Source organism: Homo sapiens, chromosome X (assembly GCF_000001405.40).
Source record: "Homo sapiens chromosome X, GRCh38.p14 Primary Assembly".
NCBI lineage: Eukaryota > Metazoa > Chordata > Mammalia > Primates > Hominidae > Homo > Homo sapiens.
This window is the reverse complement of record NC_000023.11, coordinates 39,887,406-39,911,010: the sequence shown is the minus strand read 5'-3', so window position 1 is coordinate 39,911,010 and position 23,605 is coordinate 39,887,406. Positions and strand designations below refer to the sequence as shown.

Sequence of the window (23,605 nt, the reverse complement as noted above, 5' to 3'; positions counted from 1 at the left end):
CCAGTGCCCCTCCCTGGGAGCTGGAGCTCCTTGCGCAGCCCGGGCCTGCCCTGGGCCCTGCGGCCTCTGCAGGTTCCCAGAACCCCGACAAGCATCTCCTTGTCTTCCCGGGACTCTTGGTTCTGGGCGCCTTGTCCTGCCCTGTTCCCTGCAGCTCTGCACACAGCGCTTGGCAAGAGTGGCCCGGGCACTGGAGAAAGGCTTGCGGAATCGTGCTGCATTCTAATGACGAAGTGTCTCCTCGCAGTGCCGCCTCCCTACTTTGGGCCTCAGCTCGTTTTACTGTCAGCTCTCCCAGCTTGTCAACAGACTTGCAGCGAGGCTGGGCCAAGAGGCTGCAAGAAAAATTCAGGGTGGTCACAAGCCGGGCCTCCCTCTAGGTGGGAAGGGGCTGGAGTCAGCGTTCGAGCCCTGCCTGGGCCTCTCAGGGCACTGTGGGTGGACAGAGCATCCCTCGCCCCTGCCGGCCCCATGTATGTCCAAGCCGGGGAGGGGAGAGGAATGCAGAGCCAAGCTGTGGCAGGGCTGGAGGGGCCCCAAATGCCCATATCCCTCGGAGGAATACAGAGGTCCAGTGCCTACCTGGTTCTGCCCCAGGGCCTGAGGCGGCTTCTCTCCCATCCATCATTGCCCTGATGTCTAATCTGTGCTGGTTTGTCCTCCTGCCCTGTCTGCCAGCCTTGGGGAACATTTGGGACCCTCAGGGCCTAGCCACATGATAGGCCCAAGTAGGACTGGCTCTGCGTCAGGGCTGGAAGTGTGTGCTGAGCTCAGCCCACAGGGAGGCCTGCTGCCTGCTGTTGACGCTGGTGGCCATCTCTCCCCATCGTCAATGTTCAGGAGATTTGGCTGGTCACCCCTGGCCTGGGTTTCTTCTCCATGCCACCGCCCCACCTCGGTAATTCCCCTGGAGACTTCTAGAGCTTCCAAGTTGAAAGGGACCTGAGAGCTCACTTTGTCTAAATCTCTGCCTCCAGCTGCCTCTCTCAAAGCCTTCTACTCTGCTGCCAGGGTTACCTTTCAGGACCAACCCTAGATCCCTCTACAATCTTCCATGCCTCACCATTGCCCTCAGGAGTAAGTTTGATCCCCTTAGCTGAGCCCCCCGAGGCCTGCGATGATGGATTCCTGCAACTTTTCCAGGCCTCATCTAGTGCCCCCGACCCTGTTATCCCATATTCCAGCCACATATAGCAGTTGGCAGCCCCCTGGTGGGTGAGACTATGGCCTTGTGTTTTTTTTCTTTCCTGTTTCCCTTTCATCTCCCTTCCCTCCCCTATTTCCTTATTAACCTGGGCCACCTCCTCTATGCAGCCTTCCCCGATTATCCCTCCACACACTCAACACATCACCTAATCCCTGGTGCTTTGTGGTGGGCTGAGTAGACCTCAATTGCAGCACCTGGGACAGGGGGTATTGCCCTGTATTCTCCTTCAGGATGCTTCTCCTCCCAGGCCAGAAGCTCTTGGAAGGCAGGGCAGGCACATCTTTCCTGATTTTCCTTCTCTAGAACCTACCAGGGTATCTTAGGTAAGAATTCTCCAGGGCAAGGTGCGGTAGCTCATGACTGTGATCCCAGCACTTTGGGAGGCCAAGGTGGGTGGATCACTTGAGGTCAGGAGTTGGAGACCAGCCTGGCCAACATGGTGAAACCCCGCTCTACTAAAAACACAAAAATTAGCTGGGCGTGGTGGCACACACCTGTAATCCCAGTTATTGGGAGGCTGAGGCAGGAGAATCGCTTGAACCCGGGAGGCGTAGGTTGCAGCAGTGAGCCAAGATCGTGCCACTGCACTCCAGCCTGGGCAACAAGAGTGAAACTCCGACTCAAAAAAAAAAAAAAGAAAGAATTCTCTAGAAGCAGAGCCTGAGGGGGAAGTCCCGTGTGAGTGCTTTATGGAGCAAGTCCTTGCAGGAGAAGCCAGCGAGAGAGCGAGGGCAGCAGCGCGGCAGGGAAGAGGTGAAGCAAGGAGGGAAGCTCAGCGGAAGCCTGGCCTCAGCCTGATCCCAGGGCGGGGGTGGGGGCCATGGAGGGTCCAGGGCAGCAGAGAGCACGGAAGAGTCAGAGAGTGAGAGGGCAAGAGAGGAAAGTAAGGCAGCAAGAGGGCAAGCAGGAGAGAGTAAGCCGAGACAGCAAGAGAGTGGCGGGGTGATGGACAGGGGGCATGAAAGAGGGCACAGAGCGGGGAACAGAGCACCAGGGAGAAGAAGAGAGTAAGTGAAAGCCAGCAAGCAAGGAGGACGGGAGGAGGAGGACAGAGAATGCAGGGAAATGAGGGGATGGGAAACATATTTCTGGAGTGTGGGCACAAGAGAGGGAAAGCATGAGAAAATAAAGGAAAAGCATGAGAGAGAGAGAGAGACAGAGAGGATGAGTGAGCGCAGTGCGAGCCTGTCCCAGGCTCTCAGGGCAGTTCAGGAGTCATGGCTGGGCTGCGGGCTTTCCCTGGGGCCCACGTGGGTGAGAGATTGAGCAACGCCTCCCTGGCGTGCTCTCTGTGTGGTGCCCCTGGCAAATTTCCCTGAGGCCCTCCTGTTCCAGGGGACTCTCGGGGCCACCGCTTGGGCCAGAGGAGAGCGGAACTGGGTAATCGACTCACCGTGGGCATTTCTGTGCAGGCTCATTCTCTAATTCCACAGCTCCTCAAGGAGGGGGCGGCCCTGTTATTATTTCCATGTCACCACAGAGGAATCTGAGGCCCGGGGAGACCTGACAGGGCTCAGAGGTGAGTCACTGAGAGAGAATTCATGTCCCTGGATTCCCTTTCCTCTAGGAGAAGAGACGTAACTCCAGATGGAGCATCCAGTGCCCCCGTGATGCCTCTGCCACAGCACATGTCCAAATGCAAACACCCAGGGCCAGGCAGGGGGCTAGAGAAGGGTCCCCTTGTCTTCCAGGCCCTTGAGAGGCCTTGCTAAGCTCCCACTGGAGGCCAAGCCCTCCTTTCCACTTGCTTAGACTTGGTCAGAGGAGGGAGGGTGGGCACAGGGCATGGCGGGTGGTGGAAAGGGACCAGCACCAGGCTCTGGGTCACCTCTGTTCCAGTCCCAGCTCTGCCACCAAACAACATGTGACCTCGAACAAGACACTTAATTTCTCAGAGCCTCCATTTCCTAATCAGTAAAACACTGACAAGGCTTGCCTTGCCCACTACCTTAAAAGCTCGTTGTCAGGGCCCATTAAGATAATACAAGTCAATATCTAGTACCATTTCACAGAGGTCTCCCGGAGGCCCTTTGTAAATTCTGTCTTAGCTTCCTATGGCTGCCTATAACAAATGACCACAATTTGGTGGCTTAAAACAGTAGGAATATATTCTCTTATGGTTCTGGAAGCTAGAAGCCTGAAGTCAGTTTCACTGGGCCATACTTTCTCATGAGAATCCAGTGAAAAATCTGTTCCTTGCCTCTTCTGGCTTCTGGTGGCTGCTGGCCTTCCTTGGCTTGTGGCTGCCTCACTAATCACTACAAACGTCAAGGCCAGCATCTTTGCATCTCACTCTGCTCCACGTTCACGTGGTCTTCTCCTCTTCCATTTGATTGATGCAGGCACCAGGCTCAGGGAAGTTACCCCACGGATCAAGGTCATCGCCAGTGAGAGAGCTGGAATTCGAACTGAGGCCTCGGAAATTTAAACCTCCGTTCTCTGTTCCAGCTCGGCCAGAGCCTGCCTCCTGGGGCCTCTGTGGCCTCTTTTGGGGAGCCCTCTGGAGCCAGCCTGTGGCTGTCCCTGGCTCATGTCCAGCCAATGAATCGAGGACTTGAGGCTCAGGCTGGACTGTGGTGTCTAAATAAAGGGTGCCCTTGAGATTAGAGCAGAGGTCAGGAGAGGACACCGGCTGCAGATGACCAGCCCAACGGGGTGGCCTCAGTGGCCCATCAGAAGGCTGGGGGTGGGCTGGCCTCACTTGCAGCGAGCTCTACCCTCCAGTGCTCTGCCAGCTGGGCAATCTAGGATCTCAGGACTGAGGTCAATGCTGACATAAAAACCAGTTGACTCAAGCAAGACCACCTACATATTTAAACAGATCTTTGAGAACGAAGGGGTTGTGTCATCACTTGGGGATGGAGAGACAGAATGGGTCTCAGACTGGGGACTAGAACTTTCTTTGCTTCAAGAAATTTGTCCTTTTAAGAGGCTGATGCCTGAGAGGGCCCTTTCTACCTTCTCCTTGTCCTGTTGAAAGAAATGGCAAAGTCTGTCCAGTTTAGTTCTGGAGAAAAGGTAAAACAAGGCTGTGTGCGTGCACATGTGCGTGTGCAGAAGTGTTGAGGGCAAAGAGATAGAGCCATTTAATTTTTTTTTAAAAAGCCAGATGAACCGGCAGAACTCGACACTGCTTACTCTATTCCACATTTTATCCGCAGAATAAGAGCCAGAACAAGAGATCCAGGAACATGGGAAATACGGCTGTGGCTGAAGTCTTATCTGGGTTAAAAACCCCAGGAGTGCTCCTCTTTAATTTTTTGGCAGAGCAGGATCAAGGAATCGATTCACTCTGGTTATGCTTCCTACCATTGTTTCTGTGGGCCGTGTTTGATCTGTGTTTCACGTGCAGATCTGCTATCCACGCTCTGAAAGAAATAATATATTCTGCATTGCACCAGGTCAGCCTCAACCATGAAAAACCTTTTTTGGATGATTTCAAAGCCACACATAAGCTCGCGCGTGAACACACACACACACACACACACACACAGACACACCAGCGTGCGCATGTTCACACACACACTGTTTGTGTAAAGGATTAAAAAAGAATGAAAGGCCCAGTTGCAGAACATGACCAGGGTTCCAGACGTGGAGTGGCCAAGGCTGTGGCCCTCACCCGCTGACCTGGGCCAGCCATGTCCCCTCTGAGTCATGTGTGTGCCCCACCCCTGCGGGCAGGGGGCATCCGGACCATTCGATGGTGTGCCTGGTGAGGTTATTATTAGTAACAATGGTTTCCAGTGAAAGAGTAATTTTCACAGTGGAGAAGGCTTCCCCTTCCTTCAGGTCAAAAGCTGAACGGAGACGAAAATGACATTAACCAGTGCAGGATCCTGAAAAGATGAAATGCTCAACACCTCCCAGCTCTAAATTGGACTGGGCGTTTACTAGCGTTTTAAGGGCCAGAGGGAAGTTGAAGCAACTGCCGGGGTAACACACACGTGAAAAATGTGAGGCCAGACAGTCCGGGCAAATAAATAACCCTGTGCTGGCAATAAGAGACGTGCCTGGAGTTTTAGCGCGGGGCTGTAAAAGTTGACAGGAGCCATTTGGACTGAAAACGGCCGTGTGGATAACGCTGCCAGGTTTTGCCAAGCGCCCGGCTGTTGAATACTACAAAACTGAATAGATGAAAAAGAAAACAACAGCCACAAAAGAGAAAAAAAAATTGCAACACGAAACCACCCACGCAGTGTCCACCTACCCCTTCCCCTCACGCTTGGTGCCCTCTCCCTTTGTTTAGATAAGGTGTCCACTGCTGCTGCTGCTGTTGGCCACCAGCCAGCTTTCTGTCTCCAAACTTGGGGCTTCAGCGCCACACAGGAGACACAGCTCTCTGATGCTGCCGGCCCGGGTGTCAGCAGCACCCCGAGGGTCCCTGCGGCTTTGTGTTCCCAGAACGATGATTTGTTTGACAACGGGCTTTCCTTCCAGACTGTTCTTCCAGTCTGGCACAGTGTGTGAGTCTCCAGAGACAGGACAGGGCTGTGGAGTGCCAGAGCAGGCACCTCCGGCCACGGGGTCGGGCCACTGTCTAATTATGATGGCCACATAAAAGAAACCCAGACACAGTCAAAGGCCAAGGAGTGCTTTTGGTTTCATGGACTAACTGAAGCATTTAAGCTCATCAGGCCTGAAAAAGTTAAGTGCAGGGGGAGCAGGACGGACAAGACTGGACTTATTCTATGGCGCACAAAAGATTCTTAATAAGCTCAGAGAAGGGTCCCCCACCGCCGCCACTCACGTCTTTCTCTCCCTGCTTCATTCCAAAGCTTCTGTGTTAGGCAAAGAGACGGCTCCGACAAGCTGCCCGGGAGGTCGGTGAGGAGGCTGTGGGTGAGCTGCTCCCACGAGGTTGAGCAGGGCTGTCCTGGTGAATGACAGATCAGGGCAGTGCACGGTGGTCTCCAGGCAGCCTTGAGCAGCCAGGCCAATGTGGTGCTCAGGAGAGGCAGGATGCAACACCCATTCTGGTCTCTGTTCAGGCTTTCTCTGAGAATTCAGAACTTTTGAATCAGTTTGATGATTAGCCTTCACCCTCCTGAAAGCAGAAGGGAAAGGCCAGAGGGACTGATTTTCTAAGTGGCACTGGAATCAGTTTAGAGGGGCTTTCCATAAGGAACTGTAGAGCTGCAGCGCTTAGGAAAATGAGAACCTTGTCTGTTGGTGAGTCCATCCTCCTTGATCTCCCAAACACTTTCTCCTCCCTTCTCAGCTACGGGGGCACCTGGGGAGAGCTGGGATAGCCTGGTTCACCCAGGACGTCAGAGGTACAGTCTCAGGATGTGAAGAAAGGCTCTGCCCTGGCCTGTCATATCGTGACCAGTTTGATAGATTGTGTTAAAGGCAGGAGTGGTCACCAGGGAGTCAAGAGGCCTAAAGTGGACATTGGCACGGCTTGATCCACCCGGGGCAGAGATGTTGGTTGTGACTTCTGCTTCTTCTTTCTATGACACACGTACAACACTCCCATCACAGACTCAGTTTCCCAGGAACCTCAAAGAGGACGGTGCAGAGGTGGTCACAAGCTTTCCTGCCCTGGGAAAGGAATGCACCCCATTGCCAATAGCTGTGTTGGGCATCTGATTTATCCACCAATCTTCTGAGTTTGGTGACTATGAGTCAGGTTTGGCAGGCAGGTCTGTGCCAAGTATGCTGACCAAATTCTGTTTCTGAGTCAGCTCCTGACTGTGGTGGTTTGCCAGCCTACCTTCCCCTAGCTACTGTCTCAGAGATGGACTCCCCTCTGTCACTTTAGCGAGTCTTGGTTGCAAGGCCACTTTTATTCCTGGTCAGCCCTACCCGCTGCCGTGGTTTTTAACTGGTGCCTCAGGCATGGGGGCAGCATGGGTGGGATGGGGTGGGGTACACTCACATTGGAGGAAAAGCAAAGGAGAAGAGGGGAAGGAGGAGGTGTAAGCCTCATGCACGTTGGTCGGGTCTGGCAGTTGCTCTTTCCGACTTGGAGTCCTGGGGGATCTCCTCTGGAGGATTATGTAATAGGGGAATTGAGATGGGAGAGAGGTCAAAAGCTCCCGTAGAGCCCCTGAATTATAGCCTGTTTCTTGAATTATACAAAATTGATGCTTTAAACCCAAAGGAAACAAAGAAAAAACTATGAGCTATGACAGCTTGCTTATCCAGAAATTACTTGATTTAGCAATCCCAAGTATCTGGAACAACCAAGAAGAACCAAAATATGTGAGGAATTCCCTGTTCTAAGTAGTCATCGTTGTACAAATGCTCGATCCTTTTTCATCAGAACCTCTTTACTCTTATTTCACACACGATTCTAACCAACTAGATGACTCTAAAATTCCTTCAACACCCCCTTTCATTTTTGCTTTTGTTTTGACTCCCATGACTAAAATCAGGAATACAAGAGAAAGAGGAACAAGTTGGAAGGATAATTAAATGAGTTCAGGTTTGGACACAGACTAAGAGGACTCTGGGATACTAAAAGCGGGAGGGAGGGGTTATTATTTTGTTTTTGTTTTCTTTTCTTTTTGTAGAGACAGGCTCTCACTCTGTTGCCCAGGCTGGAGTGCGGTAGCTCACTACAGCCTTGAACTCTCGGGCTCAAGTGATCCTTCTGCCTTGGCCAGGAAGGGATTATGGTCAACAGTAGAGCAAAAGAAGAGATGGGAACAAACTATTTAATAGAAACCAGAACTCAAAGAGGATAGCCGGGTGGGGCCATCCAATGAAGGACCAAAGATACAGAAGGCCTCTTTGTCTTTCAGCAAGACACAGTTGTCGATGTTCTGAGTGAGTGGGCCACCAAGACACACACCAAGTGTGTCAGCGCCATCTAAGGAAATGGGGACATGTGAAATGCAGTTTAGACTTGGTTTATTTAAAAATAGTTATGCTTTTTAAGTTTTGGAGTTTACAGAGGGTTAGCTTTACTTATCCTGCAACTTCATTTCTTTAAAACAACCCATTCTTCCCTGATGCTGGTTAGGTGAGGGGTTAGTGTTTTTCTACTTGTTATGGCTTAAAGATAAAAAAAAATTCTGCTGGTTGCCCAAGAAAATTTACCCTGTCTCACTTGACATGAGAAGGCTGGCATTCTTTTGAATAAGCACGCTTCTTGCATATTGCATTCAAAGCAATGCCAGGCTTCCCATGTCAAGAGAGCTTTCTTTAGTTGGAAAACAATTGATTTGCAGCACTGTTCCCTGGCTTCTAGAAGGGAGGAAGGGTTCTACAATAGGGAGCAGGACATTCCCATTCTCCCTTTGTTCCAGACAATGGGAAGGGGACTCCTTTGGCCTGGCTGCACCCTCACTAGCAGCTTGATGGGTACAGTCGGACTTGCCTGAGTGCTCTCCCTCCCCTTGGTTATGGGTGGCTCTGTAGGTGGCCCTGTAGGTTGGTGTGCACCTTTCTCCTCTCAGAAAGATGGAAGCCACTTTAGGGGTAACATTTTCCAGGCTGGAATGGTCAGCACCAAATTCTACCCTTTCTGGAGTCTCTCTGTCTCTCTCTCTCTCTCTCTCTTTTTTTCAGAGACAGGTTCTTGCTCTGTCACCCAGGCTGGAGTACAGTGGTGCCATCAAGGCTCACTGCAGTCTTGAACTCCTGGGCTCAAGCCATCCTCCCACCTCAGCCTCCTGAGTAGCTGGGACCACAGGCCCTTTCTGCTGGAGTTTGTAGCAGAGCTGGAGGATTGCTTCTCAGGGAACCTTCAGCTCCCTAGACCACACCACTATTTCTGCCTTCTGGCCAGTGTCGCGAGTCCATTTCTGTCAGGATCACTTCTTGTCACTCTGAGTGACAGTCTGTGAGGGTCCTTCCCCTCCCACACACCCCTGAGATCTACTGCTCTGGAGAGAAGGAAGCTACTTTATGGAACATTTATGAGCCTGGCATTTAATAGGCACTGAATGCATATTTGTTGGAAGGAAGGGAGGAAAGCTGGAAGGAGAGAAAGAAAGATGACTCCAGTGGTACAGAGCACTGGTTCTCAATCTTAACTTCATGTTGGAGTCAGCTGGGGGGCTGTAAGATGTACCGATGCCTCTGTCCCAGCCCCAAAATTCAGACTTCTTGGGTCTCAGGTGTGGCCTGGGCGTGGGGTGTTTTAAAAGCTCCCTATAGGTTTCCATGTGCAGCCCAGGTCAGGGACCACCGACATAAAGAGTATGGCTTCAGAGTCAGAAAGAATAGAGTGGCTTTGAGTAGGTTGCTGAAGTTGAGCCTCAGTTTCCTCATCTGTTTTGCAGGCGGTGATAATACCCACCTCATGGTGTCCTTGGGAGAGCAAAGTGAGACCGTAAATACGAAGCAGGGAGCATGAAGCAAATACTCTGGAATGCTGGATGGTAACGCATGGTAATGCATGGTTACTGGCATTCCCACACCAGAAAACATTGAACTGAAATATCTAAAATCACCTTCCCATCCTCCAGGTCTTGAGGCTGCCTATTTTCTATCCTCTTTTGCCTCTTAGCTCCAACTCAAAGACTTGCAAGTGGCTGAGGCTTATTAAATATTCGCAGGCTGACCCAGAAGGGGAAGGAGAGCCCAGCAGAGTTCAGCAGACCCCAGGAGTTTGGTTTTCCCTTTAAATCTTCGGGAGGAAAGGTGGTGTTAGAACCCTAGACGGGAGGTTTTATGATGCCCTTATTGATTGCTGTGAAAACAGCCTGGCGGTGGCTCCTGCGGCCCCCCTGGGCAATCTTGGGGCATACACAGTGACCCGGCACCCCAGCATGCCCAGAGCTAGCGCTCTGACTCCAGCCCCCACTCTCTGCCTTTGATGAGAGACACCGAGTGATCCTCAGCCCTGGGGACTTGTTCAGCTGTTCGGCATTTAGCAAAATCTGGCGTGTACTCTGCACCGCGCTCCACCCCTGTCCTCCCAGCTTCTCTTTAGCATTTCAGAGGAAGCATCAACTGCCTCGAACTGCAACCTTCAGAACAGGGGAGTGGGCACTCCGGCTCTGACCTGCTGTGCCCAGCTTTTGGTGACCTTTACCCACCTTCTGGTCTAAAGATGGGAACAAACTCTGCCCTGGTTGAGGGAACTGGAGCTGGCAGGCACACCAGGGGGCTCTCCGGATCGGGGGTGCCATGCCTGGGCTGAGATGTTCCGGTGATAATGACTACTGTGCGATGTCTGTAATTATGCAGTCTCTAAGCCCCCGGGGCTGGGATGGTGTATTTGCCTGTGCTGTTTGGGGGTTGATCCTGCTGTCAGCGCTTAGCAAGAATTAACAGTGACGCTCTGCGCACCACAGTCATAACACTAAATCTGATCTGCATGTTTATGATTCATTAAAAAAAAAACCCACCGTCGCTGAAACCCCTCCAAGCCCATCATTGAAAGAAATTATGCTCAGTTGAAAGAGCGATTTGACGTCACGGAGGATCTACGTGCCTTTTCATGAGCGGCTGGAATTAGAAGGCTGCGCTTCGGCAAGTGTAAACGGCATCCAGACTTGGAAAGCTCTGTGCAGCCAGCAACCTGTTTTCCAGGTGTAGATTGCTCACTTTCCGGAGTCTCTGAAGCTGGGTATTTTGAAGATCCCTGACAGGCCACCGCCAGCACCCTTATCACGCCCTTCTGGGCCACACCAAGCTCCTTCCCGGCAGTGTAGGTTCTGGAAAAGCCCATCTATTTTTTTTTTCTTTTTCTTTTGCATTTTAGCAGAAGCCCAGACATAAGTGGGAAGGACAGCGTGCTTCAACAACAAAACCCCAGCATTCCACAGTCAAGAAGTTAATTGGGGATGCTGGGCTGTTTGTGGTTTTCTGTGGCACCCTTCCACTTTATTGCTTGGATAATTAGGAGTTTTCTATTAACTCTTTTACATGGGATCAGAACCCATGGAGACAACCTCTCCCTTTATGGACTTGGCAGCCCTGTCCTGTGGGGAAAGCAGGGGACTGGGCAGCAGGACTTCTGGGTTCAAGTCTTCCCTTGTTCCAGGGACACTTGAACACGTTGTGGCCCCATATCTACAAAGTTGGGTCAGGAGATATCCCACCTCACTCTGTCTCTTAGAGTCCAATTGGAACAAGGAAACAAAACAAGAGATAAGGGCGTTTGATCTCTGACAGACAGATACAGGAACTTTTTTTTTTTGTGGGGGATGGGGGGACAGAGTCTCACTTTGCCACCCAGGCTGGAGTGCAGTGGCATGACCTCAGCTCACTGCAACCTCCGCCACCCGGGTTCAAGCAATTCTCGTGCCTCAGCCTCCCGAGTAGCTCGGATTACAGGCACCCGCCATCACGCCTGGCTAATTTTTGTATTTTTAGTAGAGACGGGGTTTCACCATGTTGGCCAGGCTTGTCTTGAACTCCTGACCTCAAGTGATCCATCTGCCTCGGCCTCCCAAAATGCTAGGATTATAGGCGTGAGCCACCGCGCCCAGCCAGATACAGGAACTTAATAAGTGAATAGTTTTTGTTCCAGTTATTACTGCTGTGTAACAAACCACCCAAATTTAGAGGCACAAAACCACACCCATTTCATTGTGCACAATTTGGGCGGGGTTCAGCTGGGCCCTTCTTTCACTCCTCATGGTATCTACTGAGACTACCCAGTGGCAGGTGAGCTGGGTCTGGAGGTTTCCAACATGGCTCCACTCATGTCCGGTGCCTTGGTGGGGAGGAGTTGTCACCCGGAGCCTCTGTGCGCGGCCTCCTCAGTACAGCAGTCTCAGGAAGGCTGGATTTCTTATGTGGCGACTGGCTTCCCCCATAGCAACTGTGCTACGAGAACTAGGTGAAAGTTGCATGCACCTTTCTGACACAGCTTTGGAAGCCACACAGTGTCATTCATGCTATACTGTATGGGTTGAAGCAGTCATGAGCCCACTCAGATTCAAGGAGAGGGGACATAGACCCCAGTTCTTGATGGGAGGAGTGTTAAAGACTTTGGGGACCATGTTTTAAAATGGCCTCAGTTTCTAGTCTTATACAATTCTTCATGTAGTGCTTTATATTTTACAGTGTTGGTCATCTCTAATATTTATTTTGACCCTCACAACAGCCTTCTGAAAGGGGTAATGTTACTGTGCCCATTATGCCAATAAGGAAGCTGAGGCTCAGAGAGGTGACTTGATTTGCTCAAGCTTCTGTGGCAACAAAACAGAACGAAACAATGAAACACTCCTTAAACCCACGTTCCCAGGTAACAGATTTTGAAGGTGTGTGTCACGAAGATGAGAAGTACAGAAAGTTGTTGTTCTTTGTGAGCAATTATCTTTCATACCTTCCAAAACAATGTTTTAAAATATCTGATGGATTGTTTGGGAGACCTGTCACTTACACTAAGACAAAAGACTAAACTGAACATACTCTTCATGGAGAATCTCTTGGGCTGCTACCTCTGGTCTTCCTTATCTCACTGTCGAATCTGCCAACAATAAAATGCTAATTCATCTAATACAAATGTGGAGAATTGTGGAAGTCAAGCTCAGCCAGACTGGCAGCTCACAGGGTAAATATTTGATCAGTGAGTAAAAATTCAAATTTGCACTATTTGCTGAAGGTGAAAAGTATATTAGGGAATGAATGTAATGGGGGTTAAGTAGGCCTGTAGGAGGTCTCCTCTAGGATTCCACCCCTGGAAGCCCACAGCTTCTTGCTGACCCAAGTTATAAGCAAGAGTGGGCTGGGCGGTTCCAACCAAGACCACCCTCCTGATGTGGCTCGCATTGGCTGGTGTCGTTTATGTGCACAGCCACAGTGAGTACCACACTGTCCCCCAACTTCTCCCCAGATCGTTTTAGAGAAGTGCTCTAGGCATTCCTTTTCTACTACCAGGTAAGCCGGAAGCCACTCCTGGCTTCCCTGCTCAGCACCCAACACTTCGTTCTGGGCCATAACTTGTGCCAGGGGAAGTAGCTTCAAGGGGTTTGCAGCAGGGAGTTTAGGCCAGCTGTCAGGAGGGGAAGTGAGGGCTGGGGTTAGCCCCGAATGTTTACTCAGTCCCCACGTTTCCCCAGACCTGTCCTGCTCCTCTTCAAGACCCTTAATATTAATCCAGAGAGAGAAGTCGGGCTGCTGAACAGCCTAGGCAAGTTGGGAAGCTGGCAGGTATGTGAAGAATGTGCTGGTTATTTCAACCACCAGGCTGGAGAGTGGAGCCGGAGCCCTGGATTCTTTGCTGGTGAAGCTACATGGCTGGGGAACAAGTAACAGCTGGTCACTGGCAACTCTTGGGAGGAAGGGGGGCTGAGCTGGCGGCTGGAGAGGAACACGTTCGCCACAGCCGATGGGCCAAGCTATGGATATTTTGTGGTGCTGATTGGGTTGTCTTATTTAACTGTGGTTGGGCTTGTCCGAGGGTCGTCCTGGGCTGCCTAGTGCCCTGGTGGGTGGCACAATGAAGCCTAATGATCAGCCCTGCAGAAGCAACCCTTAAACAAGCCGGAAGCATGAGGCCCCCTGCAGTCGCAAGCTGTGATGGCCGTTGGTTCCCGGGACTCAGTGCCTGAGTGTAGGAGGAAAGCACAATGGAGAAATCAGACTAGCGTTCTCCTCCGTGGGCCTGGGCCAACTAAAACGCAAGGCTGGGCTAGGGTCAGACCAGGTTCCAGACAGGCATCAGCCTCCGGAGGAACAGTGAGGGGGCGACCAGGCCCCGAGGTAAAGAAAGAGATTGATCTGTCCAGATGTGCTAGAAGCCTAGACATTGAGGGAGGGGAGAGGGAGTGGCTGACATGGAGGGGCACCGCCCAGATCTCTCTTTGTGGAAGGCCTGGCTGCCCAGCTGCAGGCTGTGTAGTCTCCAGACAGCCTCCAGCTGTCAAGCCTTGGGCGTTTAAGAATGCCTCGGCCAAGGCCACACTCTCCTGGGGTGGCCCATATCTGGTGCTGAAGTGGGGTGGGGGGCCTGTTATAAAGGGCTTGCCTTTGCTGGGCACGGTGGCTCACGCTGTAATCCCAGCGCTTTGGGGGGCCGAGGCGGGCGGATCACAAAGTCAGGAGATGGAGACCATCCTGGCTAACACTGTGAAACCCCGTCTCTACTGAAAATACAAAAAATTAGCTGGATGTGGTGCCGGGCGCCTGTAGTCCCAGCTACTCTGGAGGCTGAGGCAGGAGAATGGCATGAACCCGGGAGGCGGAGCTTGCAGTGAGCCGAGATCACGCCACTGCACTCCAGCCTGGGCGACAGAGTGAGACTCCATCTCAAAGTAAATAAATAAATAAATAAATAAATAAATAAATAAATAAATAAAGGGCTTGCCATTTTGGCCGGGAACTCTCCAGAACTCCAGAACTCTCTCCTCCAGGTTAGTCAAGACTCTGTTGGACCTGTATCCCAGCTTGACTACCCGCTCTGCCAAGTCCTGCTTGCCCCCCACTTCCTTTCACAGGATCTGATCCCTCACAAATTCCTCTTAACCCCCAATATCCATCTCAGCGTCTGCTTCCAGAGACCCCAGCCTGTGGTAGAGAGTCCTTGGGAACCAGCAGGACTCCAGATGCCATTTTATTACAGTCTGGGGGGTTTTGTCCAGTTTCCCTTAAATTGTTCCAGAGGTTTCCTCCACTGATTGTACTTTATTTCCCCTTGCTTTGAGAGATTATTCCAAACATAATAGACTCCTTCAGTAGGGCAACCCCTGCCCCCAACCACACATGAAATTTCTTCAACTCCATTGCATCCTCCCCAGACACCCTTCCTGCAGCCTGAGGCCAGTCCTGCCCCTCTAAAGGAGACCTTTCCCCCCTTATATCTGTTCTCCTCTCTTGTTCCTGATGACTGTGGCTCTCTGCCAGGGTCAGTCGTAAGGTGTCCCTCTGCACACAAAATCCCCATCTCCTGCCAGACACTGGGCCTTTATTGTTGGCATGGGGACAAGCCAAATTGCTTGGCAAACCGCACACTGGCCCTTAGTCACTGTCTCATCACTGTGGCCATCGCCGCTGCCTTGATCTTCCCTCTCCAGCTCTCAGTCCTCACCGTATTCTCTGCCTTCTTCCCCTGGCACAGACAGGGCCAGCCTAGGAACCCCAGATGTCACCTCCTGAGGGCCCCAGGGAGGCCTAGCTCATAGCTTAGATCCTTGGCTCATCAGTTAGGAACTTCTCTGACCTGCTTGGCAGCCACCTCCCCTCACACCAGATGCCTAATTAGTAGCTCAGAATGTCCTTTTCCTCCTTCTCTTTGGGCTCCACCTTCACCTTGATGGGTGGCCCCAGAGTCAGAGCAGAGAGGAATGGCCATTGGAGGCAGGGGCATATTTCAGGCATTGCATGGCAAGGGCGGGGAGGAGATATTCCCGACTGTGTCCGTGGTTACAGCTGGTTCAATTCTATTCAATGTCTATTTATTGTACGCTGTGCAGTGGCAGTGGGTGGCTGTCACCTGCTGACGTAGGGCCTGCCAGGGTGCTGTTGGCCGTCCAGCAGGAAGCGCTGGCCGTGTTGCTGTGGGGAGACCATGTGGCTTCTACCATCCGCTGAGGGGTCAGCGATGGGGAGGGCATTGCCAAGGGTTACAGTGACCTGTTTTAAAGGCTCGCTCTTCGCCTGGCTGCACATGAACCTGCTCTTCCAGACCTGAGCCTCAGCGAGGGAGAAGGCTGGCCCCAACCAGCTAACAGACCTCCAGGGGGACCTGAGGGAATTGCTCCCCTTGCCCAGGCCTGAGACAGGCTCCCGAAGGCTTCATTTACACAAACAATCAAAAAGCCAACCCAGCCCAGATGTAACGCTCACATTTTATTGCTTGCAGTGTTTTAGTTCTAATTTGGCTTCATTTGGAATAGAGGTTTTACTAAGTGGCATAAATTGAGCCTAACAAGTTTTAAAACTCAAACACCAACACCCTAAATGCTTAAAACTGTAATTGGAGAGATATAAAAAGTGAGTCGTCAGGGAGGGGCTTTGAGGGAGGCAGAAGAAGGAGGAGGGGAAGAAATGTAATTTCCGTCCTACTTGGCAGGAGATTTAGTTCCTGCTTCCCCTCCCCCCAGGCTCCAGCCCTGTCCCCTCCCCTGGTGGAGAATGTACCCGGAAGCCTCCTGAATCCCTGCCAGTGCCCTCCAGGATGTTTTGTACATAGTGGGTGCTTAGGAAAGATTAGGTGAACTAATTATTTTCTTAGATGTGGCTGTGGACAGAAGGGCCAAAGTGGATTCCTTCGAGGGGACGCGTTTGTCCCTGCAGGGGAGATCTGAGCTGTCTCCGCTGCCCCCTCAACCCCGCCCCCATTGTGGAATTCTACATGCTGGAGAACTCTCAGGATCTTACTTTGTAGGGAAATTGGAGGCCACTTGAGACCTCTGGGCTCTTCTGCGGATTGCAGAGGGTACCGATGGGAGGGGCCGGTGCCTGGCCACTTTGCTCAGGGGCCCATTTCCCTACTTCTTGTGTGAAATATGGTGGAGGATGATGCGTAGGTGGGGAGAGCAATCCATGTGTGAACTTCATGGCCCCGTGAGTCCTTGAAGAGGTGGCCAGGCCGCTGTAGGGGCCACATGAGCAGCTCTGCAGGCCAAGCCTGACACTTTGAGGGACCAGTACTCTGATTTTCCTTCAGTGCACCAGCCCTATTCCTCTGAGGAAGAGTGCCATACAAATAAATAAGCAAGAGTGACCATGGGAAGCATCTCTGAGTGTATGGGGGAATGGGTGGAAGCCAGAGAGGTCATTCAGGGCCCGGCCGGCTTCCCGGGCCAGCCTCCCTGGCTACACTTGCCAGTATTGATCACCCTCTCTCTCAGGAACCGGTCAGCACTTACAGCCATAGCCCCATGATTTAGCACGTGCTTATATAATGCTTTGGGTTGCATACAGCAAGGTGGGATGGAGGGAAAGCCCACTTGGCAGCAGATGCCTCCAGCTGGTGGCTGAGGTCTGCCTTTTGTGGTCAGGGTGATCTTGGCCAAGCCCCCAGGTTTTCCAGTTTCACTTCCTCTAGCTATAAAATGAGGGGTGATGGTACCCACAAAACTCTTGAAGGCAAAAATATATCATACAAGATGAAAATGTTTTATTATCTTTTTCAGTTGATATGAAAATACCTTGTCCTAGGACACTCTTGATACCGAGGATCAGAATACTATTTAAATTAGCTCAAAGACACGGGAGGTTTAGTAACAGGAGACAAGGGTCCCTTGTATAACCCAAAACTACCACGGATCACGGGGCCAGGGACTGAGACTTAGAGATCTAGAAATGAGGCTGGGCTCTGTCCCTCTCCCTCAGCCTGGGGCCCACAGTCACTCCTCCCCGTGGTTCTCTGGGTGACTGATGTGTTCTGTCTCTACTCGCTGACTCTTCCTTGACTCCTTTGCCTGATTATGTCTAACTCAGTTTGGCTGCCCCAAATGGCGGCTCTAACTCTGTGAAATGGCCTGACAAGCTCCAGGGCCCATAAATCCTCTCTGACTGATTTTCTGTCTCTGAGTTAAAAAATCTCAGAAGAGAATCTCATTGATTCAGTCGGGGTTAGGGATTGGTTCCGCCCTAGATCAGGTATATTGGCCTGGCCAGTCAGCAGTGGTCAGGGAGGTTTGGTCATGAGGAATATTGGAGTTCCCTAGCCTACCCCTTAAGCAGGGACTATGGATAGATATATGGGGGAATTTAGCAACAGTCATCTCCAGAACATTTCTTGAGTACTGTGTCATATTTTTTCTGAATATGCTGGAATACAACCCAGAGCCCTGAACTAAGAAACAGCTCAATATATGGTTGCTAATTGTTTGAGGAAAAGTAACTTTCTGTCCAAACTCTGTTGTCTGTGTTTCCTCCCCACTGCTTGCTTCTCATCTGGGAGTGGAAGGTTTCAAGGAAGGGTAATTATAGCCAAAAAGCTAACTTCTCCAATATATAAAAAGTTCCTAGAAATTAAAAAAATCAGTGATCTGATAGGAAAAATATGCAAAAGATATGGACACATAGTTTATTGAAAAGGACCTACAAATGGCTTTTAAACATGTGAAGTGTTGCTTGCTCTCACTTATAATAAGAAAACACAAAATAAAACTATACTGAGATATTATTTTTTTACCTAGAAGGTTGGCAAAAGAAAAACTGATAACACGCTATGATGGTGAGGCTGTCTACAGATGTGCTCTCTTACATTGCTTGTAGGAGTATAAATTAGTCCAACTCTTATGCAGGGAAATTAGCAATATCTATCAAAATTTCAAATGCACATGCCTTTTTTTTTTTTTTTTGAGATGGAGTCTCACTCTGTCACCCAAGCTGGAGTGCAGTGGTGCCATCTTGGCTCACTGCAACCTCTGCCTCCCAGGCTCAAGTGATTCTCCTTCCTCAGCCTCCCGAGTAGCTGAGACTACAGGTGTGCACCACCACACCCAGCTAATTTTTGTGTTTTTAGTAGAGACAGGGTTTCAACATGTTGACAAGGCTGGTCTTGAACTCCTGACCTCAGATGATCTGCCTGCCTTGGCCTCCCTAAGTGCTGGGATTACAGGCTTGAGCCACCATGCCCTGCTGCACATACCCTTTGATCCAGCAATTCCATTTCCAGGAATTTACCCTACCTGTGTATGTATTGTATGTTGTATCAATCAATTGGCTATTGCCACATAACCAAGCATTCCAAATTTTAGTGCCTTAAAACCACAACCATTTATTATTTCTCACTATTTGTTTGGTTGGGCGGTTCTGCTGATTTGAGTTAGACTAGGTTAATCTTGGCTAAATTCACTAGTGTGTCTGTGGTCTGCTGGTGGATTGGCTAAGAACTGGCTTATCTAGGACAGCCTCAGCTGGGCAGTATGACTCTGTCCATACCTGCTCTCATCTTCCAGCAGGCTAACTTGTTCTCAGGCTGGCCCGGGCATGTTTCATGCCAATTACAGGCAAACAAAAGAGGAAACGGAAACTTCAAGTGCTTTCTTAAGCTTTTGCTTTCTTTGAGTCTGCTAAGCAAGTAACATGGCAAAGGGGAACGGAAATGCACTCTGCTCCTGTAGTGAAAGAAGTAGCAAAGTCAAGGGTCAAAGGGCAATGATACAGGGAGAGGTAAAGACTTGGGGCCATCTATACCATCAGTCCTCCACATGTGTCAAATCCTCCACATTTATACATGGTTACTTACTGCAGCATTGACGTTGATAGAAACAATCAAAACAGCCATCAGTAGGAGACTAGCTGAAATCAACTATGATGTCTACTCTGGAATAATCTGCAACTGAAAAAAGATGAGTAATTCCTCTGTGTATGACTGGAGAAATCCTGAAGGTAGATTGTTAAGAGGAAAAAGCCAGGTGCAGGACACTGTGCATATATTATGCTACCTTTTATGTAAAAAAGGGGAGAGCAATAAGAATATGTGCATTTGTATTTCCTTGTATTTGCATGAATTAACTTTGGAAAGAGAAACAAGGAACTGCTAGTGGTAGATGTATGGGGGTGGGGGAGCACTGGGTAGACCGGGGAACAGAGATGGAGGGGGTACTTTTCACTGTATAAATAAAAATAAATCCTATGCTGATATAATAACACACATTCAAAACATTAACATCAAATATCCTCAAACGTGCAATAATACAATTTTAAAAAGGAGAGGAAAATAAAGGGAGAGTAAAAGGACTGCGTGGCTTCCAGAGGTCTCTGTAGATACAAAAAAAAAAAAAAAAAAAAAAAGTAGGGCCTGTGACTATGACACTGAGTAAATTATGCTTAGTTTAAACCTTGCTACGCAACCTGCTTTGCCCTTTGTGGATCCGTTTTGGGAAACACCCATTCTCCAGTGGAAAAAGAGCTGGTGTTTCCACTCCTGGGCTGTGCTGTCCCTGTGGAGTGACAGAACACTCCCCCGCCCTCTGCTCATGACCATGGGCTGACATTTCTAAAGGCTGCCACGTGCATTTTCCAGACACATTTGTGGGTTGACATGAGCTGGGATGTAGTCCTTGGCTCTTCAAATGTCAGTATGCTGGTCTGCCCGAATAGAATCCCCTTTCTCTGGAAATGCCCGGAGCCATGTGAGAATGGGTTTCCATGACGTTCATCCTCATCAGGCTCTAGACACGAAGGAGCCCCTGAATAACAACCGACCCACTCCTGGGCCTGTGGTGGGGGTCAGCAAGACCCTGCAGAAGCATAACTCAACAGTGACCCAGCACCAGGCCCACACCTACTTAGGCATGTCACTAAAGCCATATGATGACTGCTTTGGGCTCCTAAAGCATCCAACAGAACAGAGTCCCAGAGTCAGTGTCCCATCCTCCCCTCTGCTGGCTCCTGGGACACAAGAAGGGACACAGGAGCTGTCGGATCTGGCAGCCTCTGGAGACAGTAAATGACCAGTCTTTGCCTGTGCCTGTTCTGCAGCAATGAGCAGCCACCACACCCGCTGCTGCCACCACTGCCATTATGTATGTGTGCACTGAGCACTTACCACATGCCAAACTCTCCAGAGCCTTGATTCCACAGCGAAGAAGACATCACTGGCAGAGAAGATGGCCAACTAAACAAGCGCTTATGGTAAAGTCTGATATAACGCTTGCTTACTGGTAATTCTCTTTTTCTTTGAGACAGGGTCTCACTCTCATTGAAGCTGGACTGCAGTGGTATGATCATAGCTCACAGCAGCCTCCCTGTCTTGAGCTCAAGCAATCCTCCCACCTCAGCCTCCCCAGTAGCTGGGATACAGACATGCACCACCATTCCTGCCTAATTTTTTTTTAAAAAAACTTTTGTAGAGACAAAGTCTCACTATGTTGTCCAGGCTGGTCCTGAACTCCTGAGCTCAAGGGATTCTCCTACCTCAGCCTCCCAAACTGCTGGGATTACAGGCGTGAGCCACCACCCCTGGCCAGTAATCCTCTCTTGTGGCAAGGCACAACACTCAACTCAGACTAGCTTAAAGGAAAATGGGGTTAGAGTTTCTCCATTGTTTATAGAGAAATACACAACTCATAAAACTCAAGGCAAATACACATCTCATAAAACTCAAGGCAGCAATGTGGTTAGGCATCAGACACTGGGAACCCAGGAATCTCTTCTCATGTCTCCTCTCTGCTTGTTAGTGCCTCTCTTCTCTCTCATACAGACTAGTTTTCTCCATGTAACAGAGAATATAATGGCTGATGCTCCCAAGCATTATACCTCACAGCTGCAGCCACCCAATCAGAGATTCAGTCACCTTTCTCTATTTCAGGTCCAAAAATTCCAGGAGAAGGCCCAGAGCAGTGGCTCACGCCTATAATCTCAGCACTTTGGGAGGCTGAGGTGGGCAGATCACCTGAGGTCAGGAGTTCGAGATGAGCCTGGCCAACATGGTGGAACCCTCTCTCTACTAAAAATACAAAAATTAGCTGGGTATGGTGGCAGGTGCCTGTAATCCTAGCTACTCAGGAGGCTGAGGCAGGAGAGTAGCTTGAAGCCAGGAGGTGGAGGTTGCAGTGAGCTGAGATTGCGCCACTGCACTCCAACCTGGGCAACAGAGTGAGACTCCATCTCAAAAGAAAAAAACAAAAATTCTGGGGAAGGGGTCTCACTGGACTCTGTATAGTCCGGTGTCCAGTTTTGGACCAAACAACTTCAGTGAAAGGGTGGCGTTATGCATTACTAATAGGGGGCTGCCCATGGAAATCATGTGGCTCGGGGAGGGGCTGCTTGTGGAAAAGGGGCAGATAACACCCAAAGCATTCATTGCAGAGTGGCAGTGGAGGGCATGTGACAGGGCCATAGCCTGATTTGGAGAGAGAGAGAGAGAGAGAGAGAGAGAGAGAGAGAGATCAGGAAATGTTCCCAGTTTCCCAGGTCCAGGGGCATTTGAGCAGAGAGCCAAAGGATGGTGAGCTCAGGGCTGGATGCAGTGGCAGGGGGACATGACTGTCATAGGCAGAGGGAAGAGCTGCAGATGGAAAATTCAGTGAGTCACCTCTTCTTCCATCCACCTGTGGCTGAGTTTTTCTCTTTTTCTGCTGTACTCTGGGGCTGTAACTTCATCTGTTTCCCTAGCTTATCAATTTGTTCTCCAACTGTACCCATCCTAGTACTTATCCCAACAAGTGTGCTCTCTATTTCATCTCTTCTTCTTTCCCTTCTCATATTTCCACTTGATATTTTTTCCTGTCATTCCGTGCTCTTGTTTCTTGTTGCTGCTATCTTCTATTTTCTCTTTGACTATATTTCTCTTGCTCATTGCAAATGCTGGGTCCTCTTGTTCCCATCATTTCCATCTGCTTCCACTGATTCTGATGTCCAGTTTATGGTCTTTTTCTTGTGATAGACAACCTCAGGGGCCTCATTGTTTGGCCTTAAGAGGATCACATGTAATGGAACAGGGCTGGCAGCCACCTGCCTGGTCCTGTAAATTGGGGAAGGGCTCAAGTCCAGGTCTCAGTAGTTCTCAGTCCCAGGGAGTTTAAGGAGAGGCTGGCCAACCACAGTGGCTCATGTGAGTAATCCCGGCACTTTGGGAGGCCAAGGCAGGAGGATCGCTTGAGTCCAGGAGTTTAAGACTAGCCTGGGCGACATGGCAAAACCCGGTCTCTACATAAAATAAAAAAATTAGCCAGGCATGGTGATGCGTGCCTGTGGTTCCAGCTCTTCAGGAGGCTGAGGTGGGAGAATCACCTGAGCCCAGGGAGGTTGAGGCTGCAGTGAGCCGTGACTGCACAACTGCACTCCAACCTGGGCAACAAAGTGAGACCCTGTCTCAAAAAAAAAAGGAGAGTCCTTAGTTTCCTGGGCACTGACAACGTGGGCTGTTGCCACCGATTTCTGCCATGAAAGGGCCGGGAAAATGACAGCCCAGGGCCTCAGGCAGATGGGGGATGCAAGAGCCAATTTTAAAAGCTTCTCTCTTACCTATCCTTTCATTTCTGCTTCCAGCCACCCACCATCCCTACAGATGCCACTTCAAAGGCAGCCTTCAGTCTCGCCTGGGTCTTCTCACAAGTCTTTGGTTGGCTTATGGATATATGTTACCCTCTCACCTCTTTGGTGTTTTCAGGGTTGGGAGAGGGAACTAGTAGCACAGATGAGCTTGCCTCTTGCCTGGCCAGCTTTGACCTCACACTTGCCCTAGAACCTGGTCTATCCCAGGCATCCTGCTCAGGTCTGGCTCCAGCTGGATCCAGCCTCTCCCCATCCTGGCTCCTAGTCCAGGCTTTGGCCTCCTATTCCCTCCCTGGGCATCTGATCCCCATCCATCCCAGGTGAGTGGCTTTACCTCCCCTCTCAGTGTGGACAGCTCCCAGCACCCACCCCCAATCTGTGGCTGGCACAGGACCTGCACATCTCCCGGGGGCAGCCATCATGGGACATTGATGCCTGGGGGAGGGACAAGCTGATGGAGTCACTGTTCTGCAGCTGGGGGAAGAGAAGGGTGAGTTGCCTTAGCTAGGTGAGATTTACATGCAGGCACTGATCATTCAGAGCAGTCTCTGAGATCTGGGCTCCAGAGGTCCCTTGTGATCTGGATTGGAGGGG

The 23,605-nt window shown here is 50.5% G+C and overlaps 7 annotated features.

The window, feature by feature from the left end:
- Positions 2,230-2,926: an enhancer, noted in NCBI's record as "H3K27ac-H3K4me1 hESC enhancer chrX:39767339-39768035 (GRCh37/hg19 assembly coordinates)". NCBI's record gives its function as "activates a minimal SCP1, AML or CMV promoter by ChIP-STARR-seq in naive H9 embryonic stem cells {active_cell/tissue: H9 hESC(naive)}" and the evidence as "EXISTENCE:reporter gene assay evidence [ECO:0000049][PMID:30033119]".
- Positions 2,230-3,534: a biological region, named in NCBI's record as "MED14-independent group 3 enhancer GRCh37_chrX:39766731-39767930".
- Positions 2,335-3,534: an enhancer, noted in NCBI's record as "MED14-independent group 3 enhancer chrX:39766731-39767930 (GRCh37/hg19 assembly coordinates)". NCBI's record gives its function as "activates an origin of replication core promoter dependent on BRD2, BRD4, P300/CBP and CDK7 cofactors, and independent of MED14, by STARR-seq in HCT116 cells {active_cell/tissue: HCT116}" and the evidence as "EXISTENCE:reporter gene assay evidence [ECO:0000049][PMID:35650434]".
- Positions 2,562-2,856: an enhancer, noted in NCBI's record as "tiled region #3177; HepG2 Activating DNase matched - State 8:EnhW". NCBI's record gives its function as "activates a minimal TATA promoter and a strong SV40 promoter by Sharpr-MPRA in HepG2 cells {active_cell/tissue: HepG2}" and the evidence as "EXISTENCE:reporter gene assay evidence [ECO:0000049][PMID:27701403]".
- Positions 4,362-5,151: an enhancer, noted in NCBI's record as "H3K4me1 hESC enhancer chrX:39765114-39765903 (GRCh37/hg19 assembly coordinates)". NCBI's record gives its function as "activates a minimal SCP1, AML or CMV promoter by ChIP-STARR-seq in naive H9 embryonic stem cells {active_cell/tissue: H9 hESC(naive)}" and the evidence as "EXISTENCE:reporter gene assay evidence [ECO:0000049][PMID:30033119]".
- Positions 12,589-13,570: an enhancer, noted in NCBI's record as "H3K27ac-H3K4me1 hESC enhancer chrX:39756695-39757676 (GRCh37/hg19 assembly coordinates)". NCBI's record gives its function as "activates a minimal SCP1, AML or CMV promoter by ChIP-STARR-seq in naive and primed H9 embryonic stem cells {active_cell/tissue: H9 hESC(naive and primed)}" and the evidence as "EXISTENCE:reporter gene assay evidence [ECO:0000049][PMID:30033119]".
- Positions 18,867-19,146: an enhancer, noted in NCBI's record as "active region_29532". NCBI's record gives its function as "activates an Ori minimal core promoter by ATAC-STARR-seq in GM12878 lymphoblastoid cells {active_cell/tissue: GM12878}" and the evidence as "EXISTENCE:reporter gene assay evidence [ECO:0000049][PMID:35858748]".